This window comes from Homo sapiens, chromosome 15, assembly GCF_000001405.40.
Source record: "Homo sapiens chromosome 15, GRCh38.p14 Primary Assembly".
Taxonomy (NCBI): Eukaryota; Metazoa; Chordata; class Mammalia; order Primates; family Hominidae; genus Homo; species Homo sapiens.
Genome location: NC_000015.10, coordinates 62,827,696 through 62,850,860, shown reverse-complemented (window position 1 = coordinate 62,850,860; position 23,165 = coordinate 62,827,696). Strand labels below are relative to the sequence as shown.

The 23,165-nt window shown below is 46.7% G+C and overlaps 1 protein-coding gene and 1 long non-coding RNA gene across 3 annotated transcripts in view, besides 4 other annotated features; one reads left to right on the top strand and one right to left on the bottom strand.

The window, feature by feature from the left end:
• Positions 1–21,603, top strand: part of LOC105370854 (uncharacterized) — a 54,788-nt gene extending 33,185 nt beyond the window's left edge. Inside the window, exons 2-7 of the long non-coding RNA XR_007064671.1 lie at positions 2,723–2,986; positions 5,721–5,956; positions 6,360–8,061; positions 12,706–15,599; positions 15,684–15,778; positions 16,075–21,603. This is a non-coding gene — a long non-coding RNA (uncharacterized LOC105370854). The remainder of the gene's footprint in view (positions 1–2,722; positions 2,987–5,720; positions 5,957–6,359; positions 8,062–12,705; positions 15,600–15,683; positions 15,779–16,074) is intronic.
• Positions 3,292–3,791: an enhancer, noted in NCBI's record as "H3K4me1 hESC enhancer chr15:63139269-63139768 (GRCh37/hg19 assembly coordinates)". NCBI's record gives its function as "activates a minimal SCP1, AML or CMV promoter by ChIP-STARR-seq in naive H9 embryonic stem cells {active_cell/tissue: H9 hESC(naive)}" and the evidence as "EXISTENCE:reporter gene assay evidence [ECO:0000049][PMID:30033119]".
• Positions 3,792–4,293: an enhancer, noted in NCBI's record as "H3K4me1 hESC enhancer chr15:63138767-63139268 (GRCh37/hg19 assembly coordinates)". NCBI's record gives its function as "activates a minimal SCP1, AML or CMV promoter by ChIP-STARR-seq in naive H9 embryonic stem cells {active_cell/tissue: H9 hESC(naive)}" and the evidence as "EXISTENCE:reporter gene assay evidence [ECO:0000049][PMID:30033119]".
• Positions 4,975–5,475: an enhancer, noted in NCBI's record as "H3K4me1 hESC enhancer chr15:63137585-63138085 (GRCh37/hg19 assembly coordinates)". NCBI's record gives its function as "activates a minimal SCP1, AML or CMV promoter by ChIP-STARR-seq in naive H9 embryonic stem cells {active_cell/tissue: H9 hESC(naive)}" and the evidence as "EXISTENCE:reporter gene assay evidence [ECO:0000049][PMID:30033119]".
• TLN2 (talin 2) overlaps positions 6,230–23,165 on the bottom strand; it is a 454,082-nt gene continuing 437,146 nt past the window's right edge. For both annotated transcript variants that reach the window (NM_015059.3, NM_001394547.1), the window contains 5 exons: positions 17,232–17,357; positions 15,062–15,124; positions 14,788–14,970; positions 11,880–12,005; positions 6,230–10,379 (listed from right to left, as the gene is read on the bottom strand). In NM_015059.3, coding sequence (NP_055874.2) covers positions 10,251–10,379; positions 11,880–12,005; positions 14,788–14,970; positions 15,062–15,124; positions 17,232–17,357 — 627 coding nt within the window. In that variant the 3' untranslated portion in view covers positions 6,230–10,250. The remainder of the gene's footprint in view (positions 10,380–11,879; positions 12,006–14,787; positions 14,971–15,061; positions 15,125–17,231; positions 17,358–23,165) is intronic.
• Positions 15,005–16,204: an enhancer, noted in NCBI's record as "CDK7 strongly-dependent group 2 enhancer chr15:63126856-63128055 (GRCh37/hg19 assembly coordinates)". NCBI's record gives its function as "activates an origin of replication core promoter dependent on BRD2, BRD4, P300/CBP, MED14 and CDK7 cofactors, with strong dependence on CDK7, by STARR-seq in HCT116 cells {active_cell/tissue: HCT116}" and the evidence as "EXISTENCE:reporter gene assay evidence [ECO:0000049][PMID:35650434]".

Sequence of the window (23,165 nt, the reverse complement as noted above, 5' to 3'; positions counted from 1 at the left end):
CAGAGCGCAGGGATGGAGACTAGGGGTGGGGAGACCTGTGCCCCGACCGCTCATCCCAGAGTCTAGAAACAGGACTGGGATGGCTGCTGTCTGTAATAAGTCTGCTATCCTTTTCCATACCCATCAAGTAAGCCATATACTGGAATCCGGGTGTTACCAACATCACACTCTAGAGATGCATCAAAAAGTAAACATTTGTTGAAGACCTACTGTGAGTCTGGCACCACGTTAGGGGCACGAGTGCTCAGTTAACTCTTGAAAGTGGACGCAGTGGGGTTTTCATTGGTCACATTTTCAAGATTGCTTTCATGTAGGTGTGAAGGAAAACGGAACAAAATTTCGCTGCATGCCTAGTATGTGGTCAAATGCTTGTTGGCCTTTTCCCATGCGACTGCTACCTGGCATTAGTTAGGGCACCTTGGCTGCAAGCCCAACTCTGTCTGGCTTAAATGTGGCAGAAGTGTATCTGGTTAGTGATTGGGAAGCCTGGAAGAATTAGGTTAGACAAACCGATCGACACTGCCACCAAAGATACAGATTCTTCGATTGCCTTCATTCCACCATCCTTGCGGGAGGCTCCACGATGAGGCTGGTGCTGATTGTGGTCAGAAAGTGGCTTTTTCATTCACTACTGATAGGGAAGAGAGAGCCTGTTGGGGATATATGATAGACATTGTGCTTGACTTCCCAACATCGACTCCCCTCTGCCTTGTGGAGTGCAGCAATATTTTGGGGACTTGGCCTCAAGTCAAGGATAACACCGTTTTCATTGGTCACATTTTCAAGATTGCTTTCATGTAGCTATGAAAGAAAAGGGAATAATTTTTTTTTTTTTTTACTAAAAGAATAGATTTTTATTAAGCGCTGTAAGTTTCTAGCAGCATTAACAGAACAACAGGCCAATTTCCATCACAGAACAACTCCTGAGGCATTCTCATTCCTTTCTGAAACTCTTCCATGAACTCCTGCAGTTCCCCCAAAGAAGCATCCATGCAAACTTAGATGAATAAACTATGGAGCTTTTGTGGTGAGGTGGGCCAAAAAAGCAGGGAATTTGGAATCTGGGAGTAGGAAAGAGAAATACATATTATCCACTCAGTAAACTGTCAAGAATGTGTTTCCTCTTATCTCCAGCAGATATTTTCTCTTATCTCCTTGGCCAGAATCAGGTTATATGTCCATTCCAGAACCAGTCACTAGCAGGGGGAATGGTATTATCCTTGACTTGAGGCCAACTCCCCCCAAATATTGCTGGACTCCATAGGCAGAGGGGAGTAGATGCTGGGAAGTCAAGTACACTGTCTATCAACAGGCGTGAAAGCTAAGACTTGCTCAGAGCCATGTCTCTCTGACGTTCAAAGCCCTTGTAGGTTCTTTTCACTTCATTGTACTACATGAGGCAAGAAAAGGGAAGGAAGGATTAGGGAGTTGAATTTCAAGTGCCCTTTTGGAGCATGCAGCTGCAGGAGGAAACTCTGCTTCTTAAAGTACCCTTTCCCCTCTACCTTTCCCTTCTTTTTCAGATGGTCCTCACATCCCACTGGCATTCAGACCAGGGGCACCGTTGTGTAGGGATTGGCTCACACCGTCCAAGGTCCTCTCAATATTTCAGTAACAACTCCCTTTGGCGGGGCATGATGGCTCACACCTGTAATCCCAGCACTTTGGGAGGCTGAGGTGGGTGGATCGCTTGAGGTCAAGAGTTTGAGACCAGCCTGGGCAACATGACAACACCCCGTCTCTACTAAAATACAAAAATTAACTGGCTGTGGTGGCGGGTGCCTGTAATCCCAGCAACTCTGGAAGCTGAGGCAGGAGAATTGCTTGAACCTGGGAGGCAGAGGTTGCAGTGAGGCAGGATCGCGCCATTGCACTCCAGCCTGGGCAACAGAGCAAGACTCTGTCTCAACAAACAAACGACTCCTTTTGAGCTGGAGCCTGTCTTCTGGATTTTGCTGGACAATGGGGAGAGTTACCAGGAGGTGGCAGGATATTTAGGATCAAGTTGTGTTTCCTTGCAGCTGTTTCAGGAAGGAAACCCTAGGAAAGCGATTTTCAGAGAAACTATTTTAGTCTTAGGCAATAATGTTGCCCTGTGGCATGGCAAGGCCACGGGGAGGTGGGGAGGAGGAAGAAGACAGCTGTGGTGGGTGGTAGGTGTTTGGGAACAGGCTTTTTTAGTTTGTTCAAGCTCAAATCAGCCAGAGTTCAAAGCAGCTGACACCAAGCAGGTCATAAACACGAGTTACAAACTGCATGGTCTGAAGTTTTCTCCCAGGCAATCAATCTTTATTAAATATCTCACATGTCCAAGGCTTGGTTTTGGGTGCTAGGGAGGCTGCATGAGATCCCTGCCTCCGACCTAGATGAGGCTGCTGCACAGGCGAAATACTACCTAGTAACACTAGACGGGATATGTGACATGCTAAGAGGGGAGGAGAGACAGTAATTGCAATAGGATTTGGGAGCAGTGTTTCCCAAGGTGTGATCTTTGGAATATCTGTCCCTCAAAATATACTGAAATTAAAAACTGCTCCAAGGGCCTCCAAATTGGGGCAACCCCATATATTATAGGCTCCTTTTGGAGATATCCAGTGCATATGAGTATCTTAAAGGCTCCAAGAAGTCTCATAGAGACTTATTAAATTATTAACCTATTTACCTTTCATAGCCTGATTTCTGATACTTATTTACCCATGAAACACCTCCTTTTTCTCTCCAGGAAACAGGGCTACCCGATCTATCGGTGTCCTATGGAACCACACTGCCCCCTGTGGTCAGAACCACCTGGGATGCAGAACAGCAAGGACTGCAAACTTGGGTGCAGAGGGCTTTCCTCCACGCAACCCAGGAAGCTCCGTGATTGGCAAACTGCTCTGTCAGGATCCATCGAATCAGCAAACATAGGTGCCTCTAGGATGCAAACCAGGGAACAGGACTGTTATGTGGCTTGCTGGTAGCCAAGCAAAATGCCCCGATCCATCAGGTGAGCTGATGATGAGCTTGCAGACATTGGAGAATGTAGCACTGAGGCAGAGTGGCAGCCAGCCTGAAAGGTTTGTCATGTCTTCCCCTGCTTCCCTGGCCCCTTATTCCTTTGGAACGGAGCCCTGATTCCAAGGAGTGCAGGCCCTGCCAGACAGCCTTTGTCCCTACCTGTCCCTCCAGGTTTAGGCCTTGCATGGTCCTCTCCCCGTATCCCTCCTTCCTGCCTGCATGCCTAACACCCTAAATGTTCTCTCTGCTCTGTTCAGTAGCCCAGGCTACTTCCCATCCTTTGAGAATCTACTCCAGCCCACCTCCTCCTCAGTCCTACCCTCCCAAGGACCCGCCCTGAGGCTGGAGTCCTGCTGGCCTCCCACCACACTGGATAACTTGGCATTGCTCTCATTTCTCCTTGCAGGAGACGGGCTTCTCCAGGGTGGTCTGAGATCTCTGGAGGGAAGAACCGTGCCTTGCCTTCTCCTTCCATCTCCTCTCATGCCCATAGAGTCAGGGAGCTGAGAGGACACCAGCCCATCTCTGCCCCGGAGCCTCTAAGCACCTCTCCCTTCCTGCTTTTCCAAATGCCTCTGCAACACCAGGGTGCTGGGCGCATGGGACTGAGGGCCTCCCTCTGGGCCCCTTCTCACCCTGGGCTACCCCAAGTCTTGGACCCCATGTGGAACATGGTCAGCCTTCTGATGAGTCCAGAAAGCATTTCTCCAACATTTAGTTGTGAGCTTAAGGGAATTAAACTTCTCTTTCTGAAAATAAGCTGCAGATTATCCTGAGAGAGGCCCAAACAGGCAGGAGGCTCTGAATATGGCCGCAAGAGCTCAGGCTGTTACTGCCCCTCCTAGGTGCCAGCCCACACAGGCAGGGTTTTCCGCCCACCACCCCCAGGTCAGCCTGGCCATAGAGGGTCTGGGCTGGGGCTTCTCCCCTTGGGGAGTTCAGGCAGCAGAACTCCTGCAATTGTGCTCTGCTTGGGGTGGAAGGTGTTCAGATAAAAATGCCTGGTGGAGTATCTCGGAACCACAGAACTACCTGTGAACGCTGTGGTTTTAAACCCAGGATAGAGCTGTGGTCTGAAAACAGGGTTTTGGAGACACTCAGTGGGAATAAAGTAAAGCAAGGCTCTCTGTGACTGCATGATACAGAACAAGCTCGGTAGCACGGGCTCACTCAGTGGTCTCAGAATGTCTTCTTCTTCCCCTCACCAGACATGTGCAGACTTGGCCTCTCCTGCAGCCCCCACCAGCCCCTATGGTCTCTTTCCCTACTCGCCCAGGAGCCCCCAGCACATCCCAGGTTCTGCCATATGCACACAGTTCCGTCTGCCCCCAGCTCCCTCTCCCTGTGTCTGCCTGCTTAATATCTATCCCACTAGCCAGGTCTGACTGAGGTTCTCCCTATGCTCTTGATTTAAAAAAAAAAAAAAAGCTTTGGAAACAAATTGGAATTTCAATCCTTGCTTTGCCACTCACTAGCTGGGTGATCTTAACATAGTGGTTGGGAGATCCCCGTTCTGCTAGCTGTGTGGCCTTGGGCAAGTTACCTAACCTCTCTGTGCCTCAGCCTTGCTGGCTATAAAATGGAGATAAGAGCACCCATGCGTTGTACAGGGTATAGTTGTGAGGATTAAATAAAGGTGATAATGGTGCGTGTCTGGCACGTGGTAGGTGTAGGGTAGGTGTTAGCTAACTTAGAGATGGAACGCGGCTCCCCCATCCTACCTCTGGCAGCAGCCCCTCCCACTACAGCATCTCCCACTGGGCAGCTCTGTGGCCCAGCTCACCCTGCTTTGAATTTTTTTTACCTTGGAACCGAATTCATTCTCCAGTTGCTGACCTTTGTTAGTGCATCTCCTGTTTCCATCATGCATTTTCCCTGCACAGAATCTCTCTCCTGATCTCCTGCAGAGTGATTCATCTTATGACTGGACCTGAAGTGCCCTCCCTGACACAAGGCCCCTCACGGTGTGCTCCTGGCTGCCTCCTTGCCGGCCTCAGGGAATTGTTCACCTCCTTAAGCAACTGCCTCTTCAGAAACCCAGGCCTACCTAAGTGCGGTTCCTGCAGCCTGGAGTGCCACCCCCATCCCTTCTCTGCTGGGGAACTCCTATTTATTAGGAGTCGGGCCAAATGTCCTCCTCTTGGAAATCCTTCCCAGCTTCAGGGCTCTGCCCTTTACTCCCACACCCTTGGGTCAATGTTTGCCCTCCCTGGACTGTGACCTCCTCCAGGAATTAGGCTCGGGTCCCCAGAGTCCTACACACAGCAGGGGCTGGGGCACTTCTAAGTTAAGGTCGTAGTTGATGGGTCAGCCTGATTGAGCTGCGTGTGCAGAGGATCTGAACTCCTGCAGACACCACTTCTGCATGAGTCTTGGTTTGCCGCTCTGCAAAATGGCCACACCACCTTCCCCACAGCTGCGGAGGGCTGGGCTCTGGGTGTCCAGCAGCACCGAGCTGACACCCAGGAGGCTCATTAAGTCAGTCAGTCCTCTCACCCCTTCCTGGTCGGCTCAGGCTTCCCACATTCATTTTGGGTGTGGTCAGCTCCAATCTCATTTTTGTTGTTCTTGTTAATCAAAGATATAAAAACCTTCATTATCAACTGGCTTAGAGATCCTAAATCATCCTTTCAAGCGTGAAAAAAAATCTTTCTTATTGGTTGTTAGACATACCAGTGACTCTCTTCGTTGCGATGGTGATTCTTTGACACCCCCTCTTGCAGATTAGAAATGCCTCACACTTTTCTAAGTCTGGCTGCCCCGCCACAAACAAGGACTTCTGGCCCCCAGCAATTCCCAGTCCAAACAGGAAGGAGGGCCTGGCAGTCTCCGGGGGTTGCAGTTGTGGCCTCAGCTGTCAGAAGTGAACCTAACCTTCCTGTGCCAGGACCTGGGTCAAGATTGGAGATGATCCCATATGCACTTCTGTATTCAGCTGTGCGGTCTTCTGACAGAGGCGGTATGTAAAGCCAAAAAGCCCCCTAGCTACTTGTCCAGGACGCCTGCTCCTGGAGTTTCTCCAAGTTAACTCTTGTCAGCAAAGCTACATGAAATTCTGTGGCACCCTGTGGCTCTGCGTCTGTCACTCACTCACACACACGTGCTCTCTCCTGACATACCTCTGGTAACTATGGAGCTAGTCCTCAAGGTGGAATTTTACTCTCATGATAAAGACAGTCTCTTCCCCCTTCTTTTCCATCTTCCTCCCATTCCCATGAGTCCTCCACACAGGTTTGTTCCTTTAAAGGTTTATTTCTGGCAAATAAAAAAAAATAACTTATGTGGTTAGATAAATTAATGTATGTGATTAGATACGACACAGGGCAGAGCTGAACGTTCCTGTTTTCTTCTGGATCTTGAAGGTTGGTGAGAGGCCGCTGAATGAGACCCAGCCTCGTGTTTTGTGGGATGAAGAGATGCAGACAAAGTGACTCAGGTACACTGATGCTCCCTGGAGGGCTGGGAGGTGGGCTCAGAGGAAGAGGCCGAATCCAAACCTTTTTTATTGAAAAGAAATAGCTCTTGTTTGTAGCATTTAAAAGAATCAACCCAAACTCTGCACACACTCATCCGTAGTGACCATAAACATGACATACCAAGCAGAGGCTCAGAAAGATGGAGCAACAGACTGAGGACATTTTCAACATGGTACTTGGGGATACCTTTGGGAAAGATGCCTTCCCCAGCAGAGGCCAGCACTGTGGAGAGATAGGACCAGAGCCACTACTGGCACAGTTGTCAAGATCTTTTGCTTTCTGAACTCTGGGGACCGCTGCCTTTTAGCCTGAGGGGAATGTCTCCAAATTTCTTGGGTTGGTAAGTCTCAGAAGCAGCCAGCCCCTTGGTCAACAGAGGGTACCTTTCCTCCAGGAATCTGAGAATGGAACATGCTGATAGTCTGTGCTGAGATCTTAAGGCCAGCATCCCAGAGGCCTTTCCAGAGCCCAGAACCTCAAAGCTGGGAGAGAAGATTCTGGGGACTATCTGCCAGGGAGGAAACCAAGGCTCCTCGGGGGTCAGCGTGTGAGTTCCCCAGGAGCAGAGACCATGGCTTGCTCACCACTTTTGACCTGTGTCTGGTTCCTTGATGAGGTTTTGGCCTTGGCATCACTTTGGAGGTGGGGTTTACTCTCTTAGGCTATGGTGAATTTTGGTTATAATTTTTTGATAAATTAGGAACAGGCTTTAGTTGCCTGTAAACACACTGACTAAGACAGCCAGAAAGCAAGCAGGTGAGAATCAGAAGAAGCTCGAAGGGTTTTCCCTGATAAAAGCATATGCCGTGAGGCTACAGGCAGCTCATTTCTTAAGGCCCGTGCATAGACTGCAGGCTGGGCAGCTGCCTCTGCAGCCGACCTGGAGGGACTGTGTTGACCGACTGCAGGGCCAACCAGGAATTGAGGAACCTGCCTGCACAGATGGCCAGGGCCACAGCTGGCTGGACACTGGCAAAACTTAAACAAGGGCTGTTCATTGAACTAAATATGACCTCAGCATCCCTATCTAAAGACTCCTGAAAGGCCCAAGTAAAATCTAAATTTTCAAATCACTGGGCAGTTCTGAAATCCAGTTCAGGTTCCCCTTTTGGCCATCGGGAACAGCAATTTCTGGCACAAAAATCAGCCCAAGGATTCAAAGCCCTCGAGGAGTAGAGGGGTGTGAGAAGAACCACATGTCAACACACCGGCTCTCTCTTCACAGAGATACACTTCTATGCTCCAGACCTGGGGCCGTTTTTACTCTGACACCACTCTCTTATTAGGTGTTCTGAAAGTTCACACTCCCAAATGAACTCATGCCTGTGTTATTTTCCTTTGAAGGACCAGAAGGCCCCCTCAGTACCATCTGAGGACACCGCAGTAGTGCCTATTAAATAACATCCAGACAAGGCATGGCCCTTCAACTATCTTATGAAATGAGAAACCACCACACCGGCCACGAAGCCGTTCACATACACATGTGCAGGGTGGATGAGGAAAGGACAGATGAGAAACTGGGACCATACCAGGTGATAACTGAGAACCAAACTCCCCAAAGCTCCCAGCACTGGACGACTCCAGAAAGGTGAGTATTTATATAGCTCCTACAAAAATAAACTTTCGATGCCTGTTCTTTAGAGTTATAAAGGAAAGGCCTTTGCATTTGGTTTGTCTCTGGAGGCTTTTCTGGTATCAAATGCAGTAAAGGTTTTAAATGACTCTGAGGCAAGGTGGAAGAACTGGCTGCCTGCCCCTGCCTTGGTCCTGGGTTTTCAGGATGGGATGGGGCACAGGCAGAAGAGGGCAGCTGCCCTGGGCACAGCATAGAAGAGCAGAGGGTGGGGTGGGCTGGGCCACAGAGGGGATCCCCAGAGTCCTGTTACAGGAGGCCATGAACACATTGTGACTCTGAGCATTGGGGTCTGACTCCTGAGTGTCTCTGGAAGCACGTGTGCCCCTCCTCTCAGTGTCCGGCCAAGGCAGGCATGAGGTGTTGGATCAGCTCCACTCAAAGAGGGCGAGCCAAGAGTGTGCCAGCTTTTCCCCAACAGGCTAGGGCTCCAGCAGCTCCCCTCCTCTTCAGAACTGGTGCCCACACACTGTCAGTGTCCTACACATACTCTCACTTGCTTTTCCTTTACAGCGTCTTTTCTCTAACTTTACTGGTCTGAAAAAAAAAAATTCTAATACGTGCAGCACTTATAAGTAACTTATAAATATGGGAAGCTGTCAGAAGTTTATGTATTTTAAAACCATGACATGGGCTAGAGTCTGGTGAAACAAGATCGGGCAAGGTCGAAAGGTGACATCTTCGGAGGACCAAAGCACCAACTTTCCCCCGTCAGTGGAACTTTGAAACTATAGTGTGGATGGAGTCCAAGACATGATAGCACACCAGAGAGAGAGAGAGAGAGAGAGGCGGAGGGTGAGTGCCTTTAACTGTTACCAGTTTTGAAAATCATGTACTTCCATTAACTTTTACCTTCCCCACTATGAATTCTTTCAAACACTCCTGCTCCCTGGCATTAGATTCTGTCCCACGAGCCATTCATCTTCCATGCACTGCCTTGGCTAAAGGTGCAGATTAAGGGTAAATTCAAGCCCTTCCCTTCCTATGGGAGGGCTCTGAAAAGGGGAAAGAAAAGAGGGGAAAAATATGAAATTCTGGAAGTGTGACATCCAGAAAATGAAAACATCTTATGTCTTATGTGATAATAAGTAAAACTATCTTGTTAAAGGTTCACATTGATTTTAGGATGCATTTAGATTTTCTGGATATTAAGACAGAAAAAAAGGCGTTTTGGGTTGGAGGACAGGGGACAGGTTTGTAAGCAGATCCTTTCCAATCCGGGCTTGTGACCATTCTGAAGGCACAGAAACCAGCGTGGGACCTAAAGATGAGTCACTGAGGAAGCTCTTTATTCCAGCAGAATCCCCACCCTGGACGCTAAGGAGACGAGCATTCCACTGACTGTCAACTGGGAGCCGTGGGTTTGTGTGGATGACTCTGTGTGAGCTGAAACAGCCTCTGCAGGGTAAGGAGCCCACAGACTGTATTACAGCCCCTGCTCACCAAGCCCCGACGGCCTTCCGCAACTCTGCCCTTTGGACTACGGAGGAACAAAATAATCGTTCAGTTTTCTGGGCCACAAAATACAAGATGGGTCTGGGTTGTACAAGGAGCTTACACACGGAGGCAAGAAAGCGTGCAAACAGGGGCGGGAATTTTTCACCCCCTGGGTGAGCCAGTGCTCAAGACATGGAAGGAGGACCTGAGTCACCCTCCCGGAGTCCACACGGGTTTGTGTTTCTGGCTTTTATGAACCATGTCCAACTCCAGCTTCCGTCTTCTCCTGAGAGGAAGAAGAATATTCTATGACGTCAATGATTTTTTTCCCTATCACAATATCATAAAGAGGTCCAGGAGCAGGCCTAAGAGAAGGACCAACAAAAGCCAAAGTGTCTGAGAACAACATAATACTGACTTTTCTTTGTTGGTAACAGTCCATGAAACGTGCACCCCTCTCTCCTGAGACACGGTGAGGCATGAGGGGAGGCGGCAGAGGAGTTGTGGGTAGGACATTGTACCGTGTGACATCACGATCATGCAGCCAGTGCCGACGGGACAGAGATGTGAGAACAAGCACGCAGGGCTCCAGGCTCACCCGGGAGGGAGGTGGGCGGTTTCCAGCTAAGTGCCCAGCCTCTCAGGAACACTGTCTGTCCAGTTCAGCCAGGGCCATCCCCTGGGGCTCGCCATCTGGGCTCGCACCTTTAGCCCTCATCTTCCCTCAGCTCGGTGGGTAAAAACTTATACTGCTGCTGGCGGATTTGGGCCAGTTTTTTCCTTGCTTCTTCCAGTTCTCGCTCTTTCTTTAGCATTTCTTCCTGGGCGGCGATGATCTAGAAAGAAAGCAACAAGCTGGATGGACCTAACACTTTGTAGAAAACCCTCCGACCCACCCCACTGCTCATGTGAGCTCCACGGCTCCCGCGACCGTGGGACACTGCAGCACATCCGGAACAGCTTTCTTAGCTCTGGCGACCAGCCTCTGTCACTGTTTGGGTTTTGAGACTAATGACCCAGCTGAGCCATGAAAACACGCTGGTTCTGGCCTGTGATTGAACAGCAAACATCTCTTGCAGCCTTACTATGTACCAGGCTCTGGTGCAAACACTCCACGTAGACAGTCCCTTCACTGAAGGGGCTGCCCTGTGAAGCATGCCCTGTTGAAAGTCTTGTTTTTCCAAGAAGAAATCTGAAGCTGAGCAATGTAGGTCCACTGTCTGGAGTCACCCAGCCAGTGGAGGAAGACCCGGTCCAGGTATGGGCAAGGCTAAAGCGGAGCCCTGGACCACCAGATGGCCCTCAAATGCTTATTTCACGCTTTCAAGGTGTGATCTGAGGAAGACTTGCTGATAGGTATTGTGTGGAAAGGGAAAGTTGTGTTCAAAAAAGCAAAGTCAGTTCCTTTCCTGGCTTTCCAGAGCCTTGACTAGGCTACCGACTATCATTATTACCAGGGCAGGGTTATTGAATGCAGTATTCTCCAGTGTTATTTGATCAGAGCCCCTTCTCTGTGAAACTTCTCATGAAATTAGCGCATGGAGAAACACATTCTGGTAAAAATACATGCAGTGCATAGCCAAACACAGGGCGTGGTTCAGGAAGAGCTAAGGCAGACATGGGGAATGAATAACTTCAGTGCTCCTGATGCGGATAAATAAAACAGTCCCCTAAAATGGATTTACGAGATGGAGACACATCAGAAAGTTTAAGCCTGACTTCCTAGAGCTTTCTCCTCACTCCCATGCGTGAGAATGCAATCCTGCGTAAGTCAGAATCCCACCTGCTCTTATAAAAGTTCTGGGAGAGGGAAAGCATTCTCTGTAGGGCCAAATGTCTGCAGTGGGCAGTACCTCCAAATGCATCATTTTATTTAAATAATGTTGCTGTCCTCCATTTTTGCTCTTCTTCCTTTCTACAATAGAATCCTTGATTTTTATCTAGGCAAATGCTACTCACAAAAAATATATACTACATTGTCCAGCCTCCCATGCAGCTGGGTTGGGCACATTATTAAGTGCTGACCAATGGTATGTGAGAGGACGTAATGCCTGCAGCTTACGGTCATGGCCTCCCCTCCTTTCCCTCTTCCTGCCACATGGAAAGTTGAGGGGGCTACTGAACCAACGTGGACCACGTGGCCAAGGGTAACATCTCAGGGATGGTGAAATAGAAAGGCAGATGGATCTGGCTCTCAGACATGAAGGAAACACCACACCATCTCTGGTACACGAGGAAGAAATAAACTTTCATCTTGAAGTCACTATTCTTTTGTCTCTGTTATAACCCAACACCTCTCTCGGGAAGTAAATACTATTCTTGATTTAATTACAAACCTGAGCAATGCCCCCCACAAACTTGGTTTTCACTACAACATCGTCGTCATCAGCTTTGCCAAAAGCTGCCTTCTGGGCTGCACGGACAAGATTGTCTGAGGCTCTTTTCACAGCATTTCCTGCCGCCTGGAGAGTGAACAAAACATACATTATATCATTAGAAACAGCCATTTGGGCCTGGCAAGAATAGACATGAAGGTACAGTTTGTGAGACCATGAGTCAATTGATTATCCAATTATAACATCAAGTTCTGTAGCCAGAGAGTACCCATCTGTCTGTCCATCCATCCGTGGATTCTGCCAACACTGGAACCTACCTGGTCACTCACAGATGAATGAGACAAAGTGCCTGTTACCCCCAAGGAATACTCATTTTTGAGGGGAATTACAATTATGTAAATATTTAATAAATGATCCCAGCAATGTGATGTGTGTGTTAACAGAGGCATGCCGGAGTTCTGCCTCCTTGGTCTGGAAAACCACCTCGCCTGCCTCCATCTGATTTAGCACATACTTGAGGACTTGGCGCAGACATCACTTTCGCTTGTCTCCCTTAGCTCTACCCATACCCTCTCCCTCTGTGTGCCTGGAGTGTGCTGTGCCGGCTTCACTGCAGCCTTTACCACGCTTGTGGCTGGCTGTTCCCTCCTGGACAGTCAGCAACTTGAAGGCAGGGGCAGTGACCGGAATCCCTGCATCCCTAGCAGCGGCAATGTGGCTGTCCATGGTTGGTGCTCACTGAAGGCTTTGAGGGAATGAAGGGCTACCCCTCTGTGGAAGGGCTGGGAGCCTCATAGTAACTACGGCCTTTTGCTCGTACTTTTAGGGTCTCAGCACCACAGGCTCTAAGATGGAGTGACTGCTAGAGACAGGTAAAGAAGAGCTTTTCATTTTTCCTTAGATCTTCCTTAAGGGCTATTGCCTGTATTGGCTTATTTTTAATGCTCATGAAACATGTCCCCAGGGACATGCCAGCTGAGGTTTGGAATTTTCTTCTAAAAGTGGTTAAGGCTTCATTAAACCTCTCTTATTTCTTGTCCAGCGCCCCCTCAGAGTCGAAGGCTTGTGCTTGAGGGTTCGCCATCAGAAAGTTGAGAGTTCTTCTCATTCAAAGTTAACTGCCCCATCTGGTCTGTGAACTAAAGTGACCAATGCAAACTATGAGGGCTTGCACAGGGTGGGACGCGAACCAATTAATATTTGACAAGTAATCACCATGTGCTTATTTGCCAAAGGGTTTATGAGGTCAGAAATCTTTAGCCCACTTTTCTGATGTGAAACCAAGGTTAAGAAACCTAACATTTTGTAGCTAGCAGGTTATACAGCTGGGATCTGCACATAGGTCCATCTAGCCCCAGGGAACTCCTGAGTCATTTATAAGGGGCTCAAATAAAACATTGCAACATCCAGTTAAATCGGTAATGATGGGAACAAGAGTGATGCTGCATTCTATCTGTGTAAATCCTTAGGACCTAACAAAGCACTGTCATATGCATTCTCCTATTTGACCCTCATAAGAGTCAGTGTGGATGGCTCTATCCCCATTTTACAGATGAAACCCCTGAAAAGTTTTGAGTGATTTATATAAGATTATGCACCTAATAAATGGCAGAAGCAGGACTTGAACCAGGTCTCTCTTAACTCAGGATGTTTTCCTCAGAAGTGTCCCCCAGACCCAGAAATCACATATTCACAAACGAACATGCAGCTCCTCAATTTTTCCCTGGGTTTATCCCAGGTATCAAATAAAGGTGAGGGAGGTGTGGGTCAGAGAGGGACTCAAGAGGGCCAAAAAATGGAAATGCACTTTAGGCCTTTCACAATACAACAAGAATTCTGAGATTTCTGCCATTTATGATTTGCTACATGACTGATGTAAACATACTTTTAGCAATACAGACAATCTACATTTTAACACTTACAATAAAAAAATCTCGAAAATTGGAAACAAAATGTCCAAAGTATAGGGAAATTCTGGCATAATCAGTTGATGTAATATCATGCAATCATTAAAAATGGAACTCATGAAGAATGGGCCAGCTAGCTTTGCATAGAGAAGTTAATGAAGCCTTATCTTCAAGGAAAAATTACATATGATAAAATGTTAAGTGAAAAGAAAGCAGAATGTATCTCGCCATGATTACAACTGGACAAAATTATTTTATATGTAGATAAAAACGAACAGAAAGCAATGATAACGTTTGCTATATGAAGATGTTGGGGCTGTGTGATTTTTTTCATTTAAGCATTTCTTTTATTGTATTTAAAATATTTTTATAATTAAAGCAATCAGGAAAATGTATCTGCTCTGAGAAGGACTTGATTGTTACCTTCCTAACATGTTCTCTGGGCTCTGGGAAACAGCAACAGTCTCATAGAATTTCAGTCATTTTACTCCCTTCTGTAGCAGACACTGGCTGAAGGCCTCCTCTGAAGCAGGCACCGAGTTAGTAACGTATGAGAGAGGCACAGATGAAGATGTGGTGCCTGCATCTAAGAGGCTCACAACCTGCTCACAGACAGACCTACAGTAGCACCATGTGATGGGAACCTGAGTGGTCTGGCTAGGGGCTCTCAAAGCACAGAGGAGGGATAAACTGCCCAAACCCTGGGAGTCAGGGAGGGCTTCCCAGATGAGTCACAAAGGACAAGTAGGGGTCTGCTGGGTTGGGCTGGCGAGGAGCAGGGCCCCAGGGCATGAGACCAGAAGGCACACGAGGAGAATGGCAGCGTGGTGGGGCAGCAGTGGAGGATGCATGGACGCACGCAGTAGATGAGGCTGGAACGTGGACAGGGCTGGCTGATGGAAGGCCTGGTGGGTCATGCCAAGGAAGTGAGGCTTGTCCCCTCTGGTGACACTTACCCGCTCCAACAGGAGTATTTTCCCACCAGCATCAGTGACCATTACCTGTAGCCGCCTCATGGCCTCTGAATCCTGGTCGGCCTTCACCTTGCAGGCCACCAGCAGCTGAGCCGTGGAAGCGGCGACCTGCTTGGCAGATGAGATGAGCTTCTCCTCGCTGGCGTGTCCCTGAACGGAGGCATTGGCCGCCTCACAGAGACTGCTGGTCGCAGCCGCCACCATCCGGGCCTGGGGACAGTCAACGGAGAAGTGACCCAAGGCCCAAACCTCCCTCAGGGGACCCCAAAAGCAAACTGGGAGGAAGGAGAAGGCAACTCACAGCAGAAATCAGCCCCTGTGACCACTGTCCGTCGTCTGCAGCATTGGCAGGGATGGAGCCCACCTAGAGAGTAGAGTCGAGAAATTGGCCATGAGGGCAGGCAGCCCCAGTGGTCGCAGCCCCTCATCCCCAGACCTTGCTCGGGAACCAGACTTGTACCCCGCTTGGTGCCTCCTGCCAACAGCACAGGCCTGAGAATGGAGCAACCTTTCTCACGTGGGACTCAGGCCATGCCAAGAAAGATTGCACAGCACATCCTGGCAGGTTTCGCCACCAAGAGGCGACAGGAAATGCTAAGAATGGCTCCACTTAGCTTCCAGGTACTGCAATTCTGGGAAACGGCTCAGGAATGATGACCTGGGGCTGTCTTTCTACACTTACTCCTCTGCTGAGCTTTCTCCATTTCATATGTGGGAGCCACTAGGCCTCCTCTTTTCAAGGGCTAAGAGAAATTTAAATCTCTCCCGATTACTGACCCTGAAAACCACACTGCGTTTCTGGCAGATGATGTTAAAAAAGTGTGGTGGAACTCCCTCTGGTACAATTGAGTGCAGACCCTTGTCTTAAGGAAATACCATTTGTCAGGGGTGGGAGAGAAATATGGATCTCTGTTTCTATTTAGAAATCATGGCAACAAGTAGAACATTTTCTGTCCACATCCAGAGGGAGAAGCCACAGGAGGAAATACCTTGAAGCTTGTGGGACGTGCCTGGTGAGGTAAGAGTATCTCAATTTGAATATGAAATTGGGGGTGTGTCAGCAATAAAAGGGCCACATCAGGGATTGCTGAATGTCAGGTAAAACTCCAAGGTCCTGCCTATAATACTATAGTTCACCCAAGTCTGGCTGAACCTCCTTCACCAATTTTTTAAATGCTTGAACACGTAAGTTCGTTGGAGGACAGATAGGGACTCTGCCATGTCCAAGTTGGATTCTCTAGTATCTAAGCAATGTGTTGGACACATAGCCCTTTATCAATGTTGAAATAACCAGGATTTTTTTTTTAAACATAGGATATTCCGTTCAATGACACATCTGTCATCTTTACATGTTGACCAGCCAACAAGAACTTGCTGAGTACAGGACGGACAAGGTTGGCATTCCGCTGGCTCTACAGGGGATCAACGGGAAGGATGGAGAGAACAGCTTGTGTGCCAGGTGGGGAGACGGACATGGACCAATACTGAATAACCTACAACACAATGGTTTAGAAAGAGAATTCAAGGTATGTGGACTGGACTTAAGCCATGGCTAAGCTCACAAAAGACTTCCTGGAAGAAGATGTACAGCCTATGGTGAGGCACAACCTCCCTGTCTGTACTGCGAGTTCTTGGGTCAAGACACAACTCACCTCTACCTATCTGTACACTGACAGCAAAGTCCTTTTAATATCAAACAGAAATGAATGACAATGATGGTGACCACATTTCCCAAACCCACGAACGGTCAGGTTTCTGTGGCGCCTCTCCATTTGAGAGGCTCTCTGAAAGCCAGTCGTGGATAGCATGCTTCCATGTGTATGTAAATAACAAGACATATGGAACATGTTAAATCGGAAGACTGTTCCATATCCAGAATTACTAATGTACTAATAATCCTTTGAATCCTCAAAAAAAACAAAAAACACTATACTTTTATGCCAAAGTAGATGGAATGGGTGACTAGAGATAAAGCTGAAGAAATTTCAGATTTAAAATCTGACTGGCCCATTCACCAGCAGACTTAGGAAAGTGCTAACTGCGAAGCTGGCCAGTATTCAGCTCGACAGTCCTAAAAACAAACGGAACCCTTTGGAGCTGGAAAGTGGTATCATAAAAGCCGCCGAATGCGGTGCTTCTAGAGCGGCCCACCAGGAAAATATGACAGTTTACATCTTTACGTAGCCTAATGTACAGTGGGAATATAAATATCTCGTTCAGGCCCCAGTCACTGCCTGGAATGGGATGCTTTCCTTAACAAGAAGCAGATGAGAGGCCCAGAAGCCAAACCTCTTATTCTGTTGGTCTGAAGGCTGTAGTTTTCAGTCGGTCAGCACAGAGAGTGGCAATTCAGGGAGGGAAGGCACTGCATGTGTTTCCTTGGTCAGGACAAAAGCTTGTAGCTCTTTTCCTGGGCCCCCTGAGGCTCTCGTACGTTGAGTGTCCCGCATGTGGTCAGCGGCTTTACCCACCTTTCCTTGGGCCACCAGCTCCCTCTGGGCTGCTGAGGCCGATTTGACCAGGGCGCTTGTGGCAGCAGCAATGGATTTAGCAGCTTCCAAGATCTGTTCCTCAAAGTCCAGGGTCTCATCCGCTTGCTATAACCAAAAGAAAACAGCATCACATTCAATTCATATCCACAAAGGGCTCTTTCTTCCAAACTACTTACTGCCGGGTCACCTGGCTCTTCACCTGCCTATTGTTTTTTGTTGACAAACCACACCTGAAATGGGATGGTTCCTTAACAAGAAGCAGATGACAGGTCCCCTGTGCAAACTTTCAGGACTCTTAAGTCAGTTTGGTTAAGCCACCCTCGGGTCACAGTGTGGAAGATGTGGCTGGTACCTTTCAGGCATTAAGAGACAATGGCCAGGCACAGCAATAGTTTTCTTTGTATGTGTGGTACAATATATATAACACAAAATTTACCCTTTTACCTAATGTTAAGTATTAATACACTGACACTGTTGTACAACAGCAATACCAGGATAGAAAGGTCAGGATGCCTCTCCACCTGCAGCCCCTTCCCCCTAACTCCAAAAGGAAAAAGCCGTTAGCTTGACATCCCACGGAAATTTGCAGACAGACTCATTTTCTGGAACAAAATCTTTAAAGATATACACTCACTGTGAACAAAATACACTCAAATGGTTTTAGCAACATCAATAACTGAAACCAAAATAATAAAATCAAAACAGTAGATCATAGCACTTACTCTCTTCTAGAGCCTAAGCCTCAAAAATGGACTTTAAAAAAAAAAAAAGGAAAGATGGCTACCAGTTCTGAAAAGTTGTCTTTTTCCTGGGTAAAAATCAAAGCCAAACAGCACTGGCATTTCTGTGGCTGAGCACTGAGAGAGTTATAGACCAAGCACACATTGCCCAGTGGTGAAAAAGAAACCAGGGCAACACGACATCAAGGTGGAGCTTGTTCTGTCCTCTGGACACCCGAGGCACGGGATCCACCTTGGGAAGAACACTGGACACCACTGTGTAGGTGTTATCAGACCATTAGGGTTCTGGTCTAAATTCACCACCATCTCCTTTGCTGCTAAAACAACTCAGGAAGTTGAAAAGAAGCTTTGGAGAAGTGGAACAAGTATAAAGACTGTGGTCCCAGGCTCATGGGTTGGAGCATCACAGTTTTGCCGGGGGGTGGTCAGATTAGACCTGTGTGACAACATTCCGTGACTCTAGGTCAATTTGGTTAAGCTGCCCTCAGGTCACACAGTGTTGAAGATGTGGGTGGTACCTTTCAGGCATTGAGAGATGATGGCCAGGCCCAGCAATACTTTTCTCTGTATGTGTGGTAAAATATATGTAACACAAAACTTACCCTTTTATCCAATTTTAAGTGTACAATTCAGTGGCATTACGGACATTCACACTTTGTGCCAACAGTAGTAGATTTTTAAGAGTGCCTACTGTGTACCAAGTATTTTGTTAGGCACTTCTACATACAATGACTTAATTCTCACCAAAAAAAAAAAAAAAGATCGTATATTGGAATTATCTTTATCCTTATTTTTACAGTGAGAAAACCCAGGCTCAGGAAGGTAGATGATTGGGCCAAGGTGATGTGGCAGCATGAAGCATCTAAACCAGAATCTAAACCTAAATCTGACTCCAAAATGAGGCACTTTAACTAGCCAAAGCCACCCCTTGGGGCATCAGTGAGAAACGGTTTGTGCCAGAGGTTCAAAGTCAGCTTGCTAACGCTCCCATGTGAAACGTCAGACAGGAGGGATACAAGTCTTCTCCAGCTCTCCATTCATAATGCCACATCTTGAACCATGAAAGGTGCTAATCCTTTTTCTTTATAACCTACATTATCAAAATACAATTTCAATGCACTTCTAATGGATCTGAATGATGGTAGCATTTCAGAAGTTCTGAGACAGACTTGTGCATTCTTTCTTATTGCTGACCAAGTCTTGCTCTAAGAGTATTCAGGACAGACATGAATTTAGTTCTACTGGACTCATTTTGGACTGGTGGAGTATAGAATTTGGTGACTGAAATACGGAAATGATCCATTGTAAGACACTCTCGTATAAAAGGAACTCTTGTGTAGTCAGTCCCCAAATAAATTATAGTAGGCTCTAATTTATATATATTAAATATATAAATAATGTATATTTTAATAACCGTGAGATTAAGAGCTTTTCTGGAAATTCATTCTGCCAAAGAATGTCAGGCACATAACAGATTAAAGCACCAGGGAAATCACAGAATTTTTGACTCCAAACTCCTCATCTCATTTTGCAGATGAGGAAACGGAGGCTTGTGGGAGCTCTTCATGGCGGCTCCTGAAGTCTCTCACGCTCTTGCCTCAGGTGTCCTCAGCTACTCTATGGGTTCCACGCCCGAGTCCACTTTACAGTGTGGAATACTCTGTCAGACTTTTTATTTCCCAAATTTTAAGATTTTCAAAAATGGAATTTCTTTAAAATTAAGTGCTACGTCTTTAGCAGGGGTAGATCTGATAGGATCATCTCATCACAACTGATTTTACGAGCCTCTCCCACATCTTCCGCTGCCTGGAGTTTTTTTTTTTTTTAAACACAAGCTTGTAATAATAGATATTCAACTTGGAAATATTTTTGACACCCACAGATTTTTCTGGTAATGGCAACTGTTGTAATGTTCTTTGACGAATTTTTATTTTTCTTCCCACAACATCTCTATGCTTTAAAACAGATACGGCAGAAGTTCTTATCTCTGGGAGACATTTGCTCTGATAAGAAAGTATTAAGATTCTCCCTAGAAAGGCTGACTGGGATGGCACAGGGATGGAGGGCTAATGTTAGATACTACAGTTTGGGCAGAGTACCCTGATGAAACCTGCCTTCTGACTGCTGTGTCCCTATTTTCCTGTATGCCAGGTTTATGACTAAGACGCACTGCCCACCCTACCTCTACTGCTGAAATCAGACACCAATACTTAACGTGTCCTCATACCATACAACTTCTAGCCTTAGAGAAAATGGCATCTCTCCAAGCCAAGGAGACATGGTCAAAAACCCAGGTGCCCCATCAGTTCCAGCTCCCATTAGCATGCAGAATGGAATAGGGGAGAAGGTAGGAAGGACACACACTTAACCATATCACAAGAAGGAAACAGAATTGGCTTGGTCTTCAAAGGACTTTCCTAAATAAAAGAATCCCAATTAAAATGCAGAATTTGTTAATGGAACAGTCCCCACTGCAGCTGAGAGACTGGGGAGACTAAGAAGAACAACATGGTGCACAGTGACTCCGGGGAAGAATCTGCAGGCTGGGCCCTCTCCTGGAGCTCTCATTCTCACCTTCTCACCAGAGAGGCTCACCTGGTTGGTGTCTTAAGGCCCTCTTTAGCTGAGATGTTACTGACCTGACCAGGGTCAGTCAGATCTCTCCTTCTGGTTTATAAAGGGGATAACGGAATCCTCGCTTCTGGGTGTTTCATTCTTTCCACAATTGGATCATGTAAAGACCCGCTAAAATAATCTTTTAAAGATTATGACTAATCCTGTGCATGTGGCTATTTATGTTTCTCTATAACTACTGGCATCAAGCTAAAGCAAGGAACTTTAGAAAACAATTTCATTAAACAGGATAAATTGATAGTCTTTAGCCATAAAAAAGAGTGAGATCCTGCCATTTGCAACCACATGGCTAGAACTGGAGATCCTTATGTTAAGTGAAATAAGCCAGGCACAGAAAGACAAACATTGTATGTTCCCACTTATTTGTGGGATCCAGAAATCAAAACAATTGAACTCATGGACATAGAGAGTAGAAGGATGGCTCCCAGAGGCTGGGAAGGGTAGTGAGGGGCTGGGAGGTAGGGATGGTTCATGGGTACAAAAAAATAGAATAAGACCTACTACATGTGACAGCACAACAGGGTGACTATGGTCAATAACTTAATTGTACATTTTAAAATAATTAGAACAGTGTAATTGGATTGTTTGTAACACAAAGGATAAATGCTTGAGAGGATGGATACCCCATTCTCCATGATGTGCTTATTTCACATTGCATGCCTGATATTGTTTGGCTGTGTCCCCACCCAAATCTCATCTTGAATTGTAGCTCCCATAATCCCCACATGTCATGGGAGGGACCTGGTGGGAGGTAACTGAATCATGGGGGCAGGTCTTTCCTGTGCTGTTCTCGTGATAGTGAGTAAGTTTCATGAGATCTGTTGGTTTTATAAAGGGGAGTTCCCCTACACAAGCCCGCTTGCCTGCCGCCATATAAGATGTATCTTGCTTCCCCTTCGCTTTCCGCCATGATTGTGAGGCCTCCCCAGCCATGTGGAACTGTGAGTCAATTAAACCTTTTCTTTATGTATCACCCAGTCCTGGGTATGTCTATATTAGTTGTGTGAGAACAAGCTAATACAATGCCTGTAACAACACATCTCATGTATTATATATATATAATATAATATATATTATATATATATACCTACTATGTACCCTCAAAAACCAAACAGAAAAAAATTTTAAAGAAAAATAAATAAATAAATAAATAAATGGATAGCCCTCACTGCAGAATCACCTGAGGATCTGGTTAAAGATGCAGATGCTGTTTTGGTAGGTCTGGGGTGGGAGTCAGGAATCTGTATTTCTTACAGAGGTGGTTACACACTACTCTGTAGGAAATGCTGGCCTGGACTCAGGAAAACAAACACCATTTAACTTAAACCTACCAGCCTGTGATCCCCTCCAGGGTGAGACTGTGTTTTATTCAACCTATGTTTCTCTAGCACAAAATCAGGCAGAGGAGCCCATGTGATGATCAACATTTGCTGAATGAATATATCCATTCAAAATGCATTTCCCAAGTTCCAGAGTTCAGCCAGAGCACAACGCACAAGGTAGGAGAAGGAGAAATACACAGAGTAAGCATCCACATCATTAGCATCCACTCCTGAGCCCTGGTGGACAGATGCATACACAGCTATGAGCAAGTTCCTGCCCTGTTTGAGGCCTTGAGTTGTTAATTGTACACTCTACTTGCAGCCTTCAACTGGAATTCACAGTTTGTGACATTTAGTCATGCATGGACATACAAATGTAAACACAGTGGCATTTTACCAAGAGGCACTCTTATGTAACAAGACAGCACTGGGAAAAAGAGTGAACAGATGTACAAACTAAGCTTCTACTCTGCCTAATGAAGGTGTTTGTTGCTGCCTCTGCATGCTGAATTAACTTCTCCTTTGATATACTGTTCTTTTCCCCCTTCCCCTTCATTTGAAAAGGCTATTTGGCCAGGTGCCCATCAGCTCTAAGCAATCGTCTTTCCTGGGCTGTCTGGCCAACTCTTGCTGAGGACAGATTTATCCCTACCTGGGCTTTTTGGTAGCTTCTAGAAAGGTCTGAGTACCCTGTAGTTGACCTCTTCCCTGCATGCTGACCTTCCTTGCTCACCCTTTAAAAAGTCAGTGGTCTGGTGAGATCCCTCTTGGGAAAGGCTATATATTGGGTTGGCTCCCTTCCCCTGTTTCCCAGTTGGGAGAGTATTTGGGACCCCTTTATGTTGCTCTGATGGGTTTAAAGTTTCAGTAGCTATATGTCCCCTGGAAGAGGAAATGGTGGTGGTAGGGGAAGTGGTGTGGAAAGTGGAGAAGGTAAAAGGGACAGCCTTTCCTCATGTTTCTTTTGACATTTGGCCTTTCATGGATTCTGAGAACATGGTCTTCACACTAATTCATTCATCTTCTAAGCCTACTTCCCCTCCTAACCTATCTGATGGAGTCATTACAAGCACGTGATTAGTATATGTAAAGCATGGCTGACTCATAGGAGATGCTCAAAAACTATTAGCAATTTCATTATCAAAAATTGTTTTTTTCAGGTTTGGGGCTAAATTAATCTGTTTCTCTGTCTAAACCCTGTTATGTATCCATAATTC